Source organism: Homo sapiens, chromosome X (genome assembly GCF_000001405.40).
Source record: "Homo sapiens chromosome X, GRCh38.p14 Primary Assembly".
Classification (NCBI taxonomy): Eukaryota; Metazoa; Chordata; class Mammalia; order Primates; family Hominidae; genus Homo; species Homo sapiens.
This window is the reverse complement of record NC_000023.11, coordinates 55,758,080-55,769,626: the sequence shown is the minus strand read 5'-3', so window position 1 is coordinate 55,769,626 and position 11,547 is coordinate 55,758,080. Positions and strand designations below refer to the sequence as shown.

Sequence of the window (11,547 nt, the reverse complement as noted above, 5' to 3'; positions counted from 1 at the left end):
TACCATCTCACACCAGTTAGAATGGCGATCATTAAAAAGTCAGGAAACAACAGGTGCTGGAGAGGATGTGGAGAAATAGGAACACTTTTACACTCTTGGTGGGACTGGAAACTAGTTCAACCATTGTGTGGCAATTCCTCAAGTATCTACAACTAGAAATACCATTTGACCCAGCAATCCCATTACTGTGTATATACCCAAAGGATTATAAATCATGCTACTATAAAGACACATGCACACGTATGTTTATTGCGGCACTATTCACAATAGTAAAGACTTGGAACCAACCCAAATGTCCATCAATGATAGACTGGATTAAGAAAATGTGGCACATATACACCATGGAATACTATGCAGCCATAAAAAAGGATGAGTTCATGTCCTTTGTAGGGACATGGATGAAGCTGGAAACCATCATTCTCAGCAAACTATCACAAGGACAGAAAACCAAACACCACACATTCTCACTCATAGGTGGGAATTGAACAATGAGAACACTTGGACACAGGGCGGGGAACATCACACACCAGGGCCTGTCGTGGGTTGGGGTGATGGGGGAGGGATAGCATTAGGAGAAATACCTAATGTAAATGATGAATTAATGAGTACAGCAAACCAGCATGGCACATGTATACATATGTAACAAACTTGCACATTGTGCACATGTACCCTACAACTTAAAGTATAAAAAAAATTTAAAAAAAAGAAGTGAGTGCTCACCAGAGCCAGATATTGCTTTAATAGTCAAATAAGATGAATACTAAAACGTGTCCATTGAATTCCATGGCATGGATGGCACTGGTGTCCTTAACAAGAGCTATTTTGGTGGAATGGTGAGGACAGACGCCAGAATGGAGTAAGTAGAGGAATGAATGAGAGTTGAGGAAAGAATTGCTTTTTAATAAAACTAAAAATAAGTTAGCAACTTAATAATGATGGCTTTTAAAAATAATTATTCAAGTCATGTTTTGATCTTTTTCAATGTACATACTTGTGTAATTAGTATTTTCAACTCCCTGAAAGTCTAAGACTTAGTAATTGGTCATTTTCCTCTGGTACAAATTTGAATTATACAAAAGCAAGTCACCCTCCCCTGTTAAAAATAACCAGCATCCCTAATTCTTTTTTTTCCTCTGTACTTGTTGTTATATAGGCAGCACTCTTATCAAGCGAGAAAAATAATTCTTTCTGAAAAATAGTTATCGAGGAAACTTAACGAAATTGAAAGGGATTAACTTGTGTTGTGAGACAAAGCATAGGAAATACATAACTCAACAGAAATGATTCCAGAAAAAAGCCAGGCACTTAAATCAACATTTTCACTTTTACAGATCTAGAATTTTTAAGATCTCTGATGATACCCCCTCATAAATGCCAAGAGTCGGCTATGCATATCTCCACTTATCAACTCAATCCATAGACATAACTATAAGTAGCAGCTTGTGGCAAAATCTATTTTCCTACCACAACATCCATTCTTCCCTTGCTCCTTAGTAACAAAACATTGTTTCATTTGGGGAGGCAATGTACCTAACTAAAAGATGGCAGCTGGGCACAGTGGCTCACTCCTGTAATCCTAATACTTTGGGAGGCCGAGGCAGGTGGATCACTTGAGGTCAGGAGTTTGAGACCAGCCTGGCCAACACAGTGAAACGCCACGTCTACTAAAATACAAAAATTAGCTGGGTGTGGTGGTGTGTGCCTGTAGTCCCAGCTACTTCAGAGGCTGAGGCATGAGAATCGCTTGAACCCAGGAGGCGAAGGTTGCAGTGAGCCGAGATTTCGCCACTGCACTCCAGCCTGGGCGACAGAGTGAGACTCTGTCTCAATAAATAAATAAATGAAATAAAAGATGACATTTCTGAATCTCCCTTGTAGGTACATATGATCGTGTGACTAGATTCTGGACAGTGAGATATGAATGAGTGCTGTATGTGGTTTTCAGGAAGTCTGCTAAAATATTCTGCTGGCTGAAATGTAGATGTGATGGCTGGAGTTTAAATAGCCATATCGGACCATGAGATAACATTTAAAAGATAACAAAGCAACAACTAGAAGGAGCCTGAGTCTCTGATTTTACCATACAGCCAAATCTTAGAGGATCTATCTCCAAACTTCTATTATTTGAGAAAAAAATAAAGTCTTATTTAAGATACTCCATTTTGGGTTTTTTGGTTATCTGTAGCCAAACATAATCCTAGACAATATGATACTCTACTGTATTCCATTAAGTTGCTGCATCAGATGTACATCTTTAATCCACTGTTAGGTATTTGAAATGTTCCTATTGTTTGCTATTATTTATAGTGCAGCATTAGTCATATTTAAAAAATTTTCCCTCTAAAACCACATATACTTTGGATATTTTCTTAGGATATCTTGCCAAAAAGGAATCATCACCACATCAAAGGGTAAGAAAAATTTTGTAATATTATTTTTGCCAGATCCCCTGTCAGAAAGGACCGATTAGGAGCTTTCAGCAATATACAAAGTATATTTCAGCAATATGCTGACAATAGCCCTGTCATTTTTTGCATTTGAATGGTACATAATGGTACCTTAAAAATGTATTTTTGATGGCTACATAGGCAATGCATTTTTTTCTACTTCAGGATCTACTTTGTGTATCACCTCATGCATTCTCCCCTACTTGAAAGGAAGCTCCCTAATGAGGCTGAAGCAAAGCCAGTGCATCTTTGATTTCCCTAGTATATTAGATTTTATTTCTGTGTAACAAATTACACTAAAACTGAATGGCTTAAAACAATAAGCATTTATCATTTCAGTTTCTGCAGGTCAAGAAACTAGGTGAGGCTTAGCTGAGTGTCTCTGCCTCAAGGATTCAAGATCTCTTACAATCTGGCAATCAAGGTGTTGGCTGGGGCTCTGGTCTCATCTGAAGGTTATACTGAGGGAGGATCTGCTTCCAAGCTCACTTATGTGGTTGTTGGAAGAATTCAACAACCTTGTGAGCTATTGGACTGAGGGCCTCAGCTTCTTGCTAGTTTTTGGCCAGAGGCCATCCTCAGTTCCTCAGTTCTTAATGCTAAACATGCAAGAAAAGGCAAGCAAGACAGAAGCGAGTCTTTTTGTAACCTAATCTAAGCGACATCTCATTATTTTTGCAAAATTCTGTTTGTTAGAAGAGAGTCACTATATCCAGTCTACACTTAAGGGGAAGGGATAACACAAATGCATGGAGACTGCCTATCACAACTACTGAGGGTCCTGGAGTAAGCATTTGTTTAATTTGTAAACTGTCAAGTAAAATTTGGATATTAAACAGAGTGACCATTTAGATTGTTTACCTACTCTAACTTTTACTTGTGTCACACATTATTTGTCCTTTTGGTGTTTTTTTCTATATAGCTAAATTTATATTTATTTTAATAAATATATTTATTATAATTTTAAATAACCACTCTGTTATAACAATTTTAAGCTGAAATTTCTACTTGATGATCATGTGGAATACTTGCAATGTGTGGTTTGCCAAGCCTATTTAGAATGACTGATGTTCATAAGTTATGATCAGCCTGAAATTTTCATTTGTGGTAAAGTTATTTTGGGGTTTGGGGATCAAAACCTTATTTGTCTCATCAAGCTAGACAGCATAGCATCCTTTTCTGTATTTTGAAATAGTACAATACAGGATTAACTCTTCTTGAAACAGTTGGAAAAAATTCACCAGGGTCTATTTGTGACACAAAGAGATGTGGAATTCCATAGTAACATTTTCATATAATCTTCATTTGCTAATGATTATTCATATTCTTCAGCTGCAATGTCCAACATGGCAGCCACTAGTCACATCTGGCTATATTCATTTAAATTTAATTAAAATTAAATAAAAAATTACTTGCTTAGTTTTGTTAGCCACATTTCTTTTTTTTTTTATTTTATGTTCACTCTTTTTTTAAGTTTTTTTTTTCTTTTATTATTATACTTTAAGTTTTAGGTACATGTGCACATTGTGCAGGTTAGTTACATACAATGAGATCACATGGACACAGGAAGGGGAACATCACACTCTGGGGACTGTTGTGGGGTCGGGGGGAGGGGGGAGGGATAGTATTGGGAGATATACCTAATGCTAGATGACAAGTTAGTGGGTGCAGCGCACCAGCATGGCACATGTATACATATGTTAGCCACATTTCAAGTGTTCAATAGCCACATGTGCTGAGTGGCTACCATACTGAACAGCACAGATTAGAAAATTTCCATTTCCATCATCACAGAGACCTCTATTGGACAGTGCTGTCTTAGAGCAAGTTTGTATGGCATGTATAGGTGAGGTTGGCTTGGAATCAGAACTGGGGTTTAAGTGCCAACTACACTCTTCACTAATTTGTGATACTGGATAAATCACAACCTTGTTGATGCTCACTTGCCTTATCTATAAAACTGTGCTACTACCTTTCCTATCCATTTCACAAGATTGTTGGGAAGAACAAAAAAGACAATGTATGAGAAACTAATGTGAGAACTACAAAATATATTCACAAGACAGAATTATAAGTTTAGAGGGATTTTTGATTAAAGTACAAATTGGTCTCTTCCTACAAAATAAAGAAATAACAATACCCATTTCATAAGGCTGCTGTGACAGTTAAGTAAGTGAATACATGTAAAAACAATTAGATCCTATGCCTGGCACGTCTTAACAGATCAGTAAATATTATTTGCTATTCTTGTTGTAGGCATTCAGCCAATCAATATTAAGGACATATACAGGCCTGAAAGTAAGCTTAAGGAGTTATCCATTTCAATCCCACAGTTTTTCAGAAAATGACAATATAGTTTTGCATTGCTTAATGATGATATGTTCTGGGAAATGGATCGTTAGACAATTCTGTTATTGTGCAAACATCATAGAGTATACGTACACAAACCTAGGTGGTATAGCCTAGTATACACCTAGACTATATAATATAGCCTATCACCCCTAGGCTACAAACCTGTACAGCATGTGACTGTACTGAATACTGTAGGCAATTGTAACACAATGGCATTTGTGTATCTAAATATAGAAAAGGTAATGTGTCATGCTACAATGTTAGATGGCTACAATGCTACTAGGCAATAGGAATTTTTCAGCTCCATTATAATATTATGAAGCTTCCATCATATATGTGGTCTGTCATTAACCAAAATGTCATTATGTGGCGCACGACCGTATATATACAAGAGTCTGAGATTCTACAACATCAGCTATCTATTCTAATGCTTGTGGCAAGCTATTTCCTCCTTTCTTTATAAATTTTAAATAATTACTTAATTATTTTCTTTATCTACACTTGCCATTGAGTTGATCTCATCCAATGTCAAAATGAAATTTGAATCTGTAGCTCAACCTCTCCTCTGAGTTTGACACTTATGCATCATACTCATATTCATACTCATACTCAGCAACTCCATTTGTGTATTACAGGTATCTCAAGCTTACCATACCATGTGCAAAACTCCCAACCCTTGTTTTCTTCTTCAAGCCAGGTTCTCCCTCAACATTCTCAGTTTCAGGCAGCTTCATTAATCCAGTTGCTCAAGCCAAAAACTTTGAAGTTATCTGATTCCTCTTTCTCCTACACACTTCATTAAGAAACCCTGTTGGCCTGACATTAGAAACTTAGCAAGAATCCTACCATTTCTCATCACTTCCTCTGGTACCATTCTAACCCAAGCCAAGTCACCATCATCTCTCACTTATTACTTTAATAGTTGTATTAGTCAAGGTTCTCCAGAGGGACAGAAACAACAGGAGATACACACACATATACACAGGTACTCCCCTGTGTATATGTGTGTATGCGTATACACACACACATGTGCTCCCTCATGTGTGTATATATGCTCCCCACATACACGGGGGAGCACGTTAGGGAAAATTGGCTCACACAGTTACAAGGTGAAGCCCCACAATAGGCCATCTGCAAGGTGGGGAAAGAGAGAAGCCAGTAGCATGGCTCAGTCTAAGTCTGAAAGCCTCAAAACCAGGGAAGCTGACAATGCAGCCCTCAGCCTGAGGCCAAAGGGCCAAGAGCCCCTGGGAAGCTGCTGGTGCAAGTTCTAGAGTCTAAAGGCCAAAGAACCTGGAGTCTGATGTCCCAGGGCAGAAGGAAAGGAAGCCAAGCATCGGGCATAGCATGTGAAGAAAGAACAAGCAGACTCAGTAAACAAGCTGCTTTTATCCCCCTTCTTCCGCCTGCTTTGTTCCAGCAGTACTGGCAGCTGACTGGATGGTGCCCACCCACAATGAAGGTGTCTTCCTCTCCCAGTCCACTGACTCAAGTGTCAATCTCCCCTGGCAACACCCTTACAGACACACCCAGAAACAATACTTTACCAGGTATCTAGGCATCCCTCAATCCAGTCAAGTTGATACCTAATATTACGTATCACAGTGGCTTCTTCACTGGTCTCCCTGCTTTTACTCTTATCTCCAAATTGTCTATTCTTTAGCTGTGATCTTTTTTAAAAAGTAAGTCTGATCACATCACCCCTCTGCTCAAAACTTTCTAGTGGCTTTCCCATCTTACTGGTAGTAAACACAAACATCCTTACAATGGCTTACAGGGCCCTACACAGTCTTCTCTTCCACCCCATCTTTATCTAATTCCTCACCTCAGTCTCCTATTCTTCTTACCACTCTTGCCTCCAGTCCTGCCACATTGGCCTTGCTGCTGCCTCTCTAATATTCCGAGAACCCTCCCACATCAGGGACTTTGTACTTGCTGTTTTCTCTGCCTAAAATGTCTTTTTTTTTAACGTGCTATACACATGGCTCTCTCTCACACTTTATTCAGTTCTTTGTTCAGATGTCATCTCATGTTAGAGGCTATCTCTGATCTCCCTAATTAAATAAATCCTTGGTTAATTTTACATGTTGACTTGACTAGGCTGCAAGGTGCCCAGATATTTAGTGAAATATTATTTTAGGTGTGTCTGTCAGGGTGTTTTTAGATGAGACTAACATTTGAATGGGTAGACCGAGTAAAGCAATTGCCCTCTCTAATGTGGGTAGGCCTCATCCAATCAGTTGAAGGCCTGAATAAACAAAAAGACTGACTCTCCCATTAGTAAGAGGGAACTTCTCCTGCCTGACTGCCTTGAGCCAGGACATCAGTCTTTTCCTGCATTCAGACTTGAACTGAAACACTGGTTCTTTCTGAGTCTCAAGCCTGCCAGCTTTTGAACTGGAACTTATATTATCAGTTCTCCTGGTTCTCTGGCCGTTGGACTCAGACTTAACTACATCATTGGCTCTCCTGGGTCTTTAACTTGCCGACTGCAGATCTTTGGATTTCTCGGCCTCTCTGGAGAACCCTGATTAATATAGTTTCCTATTACTTCTCTAACAAATTACCACAAACTTAGTGTCTTAAAACAATAAAAATTTATTATATTATAGTTCTTGATGTCAGAAGTCTGATGTGGGTTTCACTGGGCTAAAATCCAGACGTCAGCAGGGCTCTGTTTCTTTCTTGAGGCTCTAGGAAAGAATCAGTTTCCTTGCCTTTTCCAGCTTCTAGGCTGCTCACATTTCTTGGCTCATGGCCCCCTGCCTCCATCTTCAAAACAAAGAACAGCAAATTGAGTCTTTCTCATGGCAAGTCATTCTGACACTGACTCTCCTACCTCCCTCTTCCACATTTAAAGGACCCTTATGATTACATTAGGCCATTTGGATAAACCCGGATGATCTCCTTATCTTGGGGGCAGCTGATTAGTAGCCTAAATTCCATCTGCAAACTTACTTCCTCATTGCCATGCAACAAAACATATTTATAGGTCCAGGGATTAGGATGTAATCCTCTATGGGGCCATTACTCTGCCTGCCCCCAGCCCCTTCCCACATTACTGCTTAAATTTTCTTCATATACCTGTCTTTCCTAATATATTATGTTTACTTAATTGGTTGTCTGTCTCCTCTTCCTAGAATATAAACTCCATGAGTACAAGGGCTTTATTTTGTTCACTCTCATATCCTGGGCTTCAAAAACAGTGTCTGAAACATAGTAAGTATTGAAAAAATATCTTTTGACTAAACTAACTAATGAGGCCAGAAATTTTGTCAGTGAGAGCTACAGGAGGGCCCTAACTACTTCTTGCTTTATAATGAAGAGTTAGGAATTTGAGCGGGAAATATTAAACTGGCCTATGCAAAGCACTGTTGTGAGAGACCTAAAAAAGTTACAAAGTTACACACTTTCTCCCTCTTATTTTTATTAACAAATGGCCCCAGAGAAGTGGAGGCTATAACTGCTTACAGTAACCCAATTCAGGGACAAAACTTCTAAATATTAAAAGACTGTTTAGGTTTGACCTAAATCCTTCAAGCTGGAGGGATTTTTGCTTTGTTTTCCTGGTGACTGCTTTGTACTGCCTACTGTGGTAAGGCTTCCTATGCTCCAGTAAAACCAGGAGTAAGACAGGTTCACGAGTGTTTGCTTTACTATTTCATAGTAGCCAAATAGTGGTAGTCTCACAGTGAGGTACCACACCTGGGTGCACCTCATACTCTCCACCCTGAATAGGCCCTTACATTCAGGAAGGCCATATAACTTCAAGGTTAAGAATAAGTACATGAGCTCCAGTTAGACCGAATTCAAATCCCAGCTTTGCCATTACCACAATAACTATTAGCAAGTTTCTTATCTTCTCTGAGCCCAGTTTCCCCATCTTCAAAATGGAGACAGTGATAGTACTTATGCCATGTAGTTCTTGTGAAGATTAACTTAGATAATCCTTATAAAGCACTGATACTTGGTAAGTACTCAACTAAAGGATAGCACCATTTTCATTTGGCAATCTACCTAACTTTTCTTGGTATCCTATTGAGTTAGCAAATAAAGCTGGATGAAACTGGAACAAGCTAGGTCGTCCCAATACAAATCAGTACCCACAGTCTCTTTATACTAGCAAGGGTTTCCATTTGAACATATTACTTATGAAACACAAGCTTCCCAGGCATTGCTTTTGTCTACAACAGTGCTTCTCAAACTTATAGATCACTTTGAGAATTAGTGGTTTAAAACATATATATTGTACTTGGTATAATGCCTTCACTTCAGTATTGCCAAAGTGGTGAACACATGCTTTTCCCATACTTGTTTCCTGTCTACATTTCGTCTTCTCTTCCCTAAAGCAGTGGTTTCCAAAGTGTAGTCCCTGGACCAGCAGGATCAGCATCATCTGGGAACATGTTAGAAGTGCAGATTCATGAGCCTCACCCCAAACCTGCTGAATCTGACACTTTTGGGGTGGGGCAGCAATCTGTTTTAATAAGCCCCCCTCCCAGTGATTCTGAGGCATGCTCAAGTTTGAGACCCACTGGCCCCTATCCTACTGACATAGGTAACACGGCCTATAAAAAGCATTATTTCATTGTATCATTTCATCTCTAATTTTGATTTCTTTTCTCCATCTGTTTCTGTGTGCATGACTTCACCATCCACCTGATTCCACTTCTGTTTCTAAGTGACTGCATCTTTGGATAAATATATATCTCAAAACTCTTTTGTCTTCAGTGACAAAGACAGCTATCTGGCCATCACCATAAGAAGGATTAAGTCTAATCAGAACCTCATTTGTCTAACCTTTCAAAACATCTATGTCCAAGTTATAACTATAATCTGAGCAAGGACTGAATGAACTAAGGGCAAATAGGATAAAGACATAACCTTATGATTTTTCTGGGCTCATCTAATTTAATGTCTCTATATGTATCAATATCTATCCACCTTATAAAGAACACATTCAAGTAGTGTGAATGTCTGATTTAGAAGTGAATCCCACTTCTAAATCCCACCCCAGATATTGAAAATAATAACATGCCAAATAATGACTCATTACTAGTCACAGAATACACCCCTGTTCAATGACTCTTCACCTTCCTGAACTCTTTTCATTTTCCTAGATGCTAATAGGATAAAGACTCTGGAACACTTAAATCTCTCCTTCTGCAGAAGATTAACACAGCTGTTGATAGAAATATTCCCATAAAATTGTTTTACAAGTTGAGAGTTTTAGTCTACATAACATAGGTCACGTAGCAAAAAAACATGTTTTTTGCTGCTCAGTGAAAACTCTACTTATCCCTCAACTAGGACTATTAAACTAAGATGAGAAAAGGTGAGAGACCAGTGGTTTAGAAGAAGTTCCTTAATGACATGCAGAAGAAGAAATGAGATGAGTCTACTGTCTACTGTGCTATAGATTCCCTAAATGGTTCTGTCTTCTCTTTTCCTGCAAATGGAAACTGAAAATGTTAGGGCTTTGTGTTATCAAACTCCGTTTCTCACAGTTCACAGTGCTTCATTTTTTCCTTAGAGGACAAAATTAAAGACAACTGCCAGCTTGAAAAAGGTTTTAATACTGCTTGATAGAATAATGAAGGTGCATCTCATTAGGTGTTATGGAATTACACCTAATTAACCACTCCTGGACCTCATAAATCCTATTTTCCCTCCACTTTTTATGCATTCCTTCTCCAGTTGCATCCTGAATAGACTTTAAATATACTTCAGGCATGGATTACTACCAGAGTTTCCCCAGCTGCTATCAGTCAGTACATATGGTCTAACTTAACTTTCTTTCAAAATTGCTTTCACATAATTCCCTTGCTCAAAGGCCCACAATGCTTTCCTATATCCTATCGCATTTAGATGTCTTATATCTGAATTCTTCTGCCTCGCTTTAAGGCCATAATCTGGCTACATTCTTCCCATCCAATTTTATTTTGTGCCTTCCCAACCAGAAGGTCCCCTTCACCTAGGATAACTGTGAAATTCCTTTACTCTTTCTTAGGACAAAGTTGAAGAAACAAGGAAAAGAAAAATAGACACTGAAATCCCTAACACCAAAAGTTTATTTACAATTGAAGTTAAGGAATATTTTTAATGCATGCTGAGAAAACAGTAATACTCCAAACTTACAGGTTACTTACTATCTGATAAGGAATACAAGATGATGCCGAGAAAGGCTTGGGCAAACACAACTATTGGAACCAGGTTACCAGTACATTTAAACACTATTAGAACCTTGTTATCAGAAAACTTACATATCACCTACTTTTATGTAACACCGACTTCATGAACAATTCATCTTCTAACTCCTCAATGGCTATTTAAGTTAATAGCATTCAAGGTTAAACATTAAGACTAGGGAGTAGAGAAGAAATACAGAAGCAATAAGCATCACAACATTTCAGAGCCTACATATATGAATACAACATTAATTAGGAAACTTTTAATTTTTGTGTGAAACAATATTCATCAATGTTTAGCGCATGAGAAGACACTGCTTTGGTCCATCCACTCTTTCCAGCTTTTCAAAGTGTTTCCTGGCATTGCGGATGTTGATCAGAGTAGCTGCAGAAGCTGAGGGCGGGGGCGGAAACACCCAACAGAATTAAGTATGGGCAGCCAAAGGAATGTCTGACTAGTAAAACAAATAAACAAAAGAGAGCCAAATCCCTCAATGTATGTCAGAGAACATACAGGAATAGGAGGTCCCAAGTTATCAAGGTTTAATTTTTCTGAATAA

At 38.5% G+C, this 11,547-nt stretch overlaps 1 protein-coding gene across 14 annotated transcripts in view; it reads right to left on the bottom strand.

The window, feature by feature from the left end:
- Positions 1 to 10,852: 10,852 nt before the first annotated feature.
- RRAGB (Ras related GTP binding B) overlaps positions 10,853 to 11,547 on the bottom strand; it is a 41,026-nt gene continuing 40,331 nt past the window's right edge. For all 14 annotated transcript variants that reach the window (NR_148685.2, NR_148691.2, NR_148692.2 and 11 more), the window contains one exon: positions 10,853 to 11,381. Coding sequence is in view for 4 of the 14 variants with exons in the window: in NM_016656.4 (NP_057740.2) it covers positions 11,284 to 11,381 (98 nt within the window). In the remaining 10 variants the exon portion in view is untranslated. The remainder of the gene's footprint in view (positions 11,382 to 11,547) is intronic.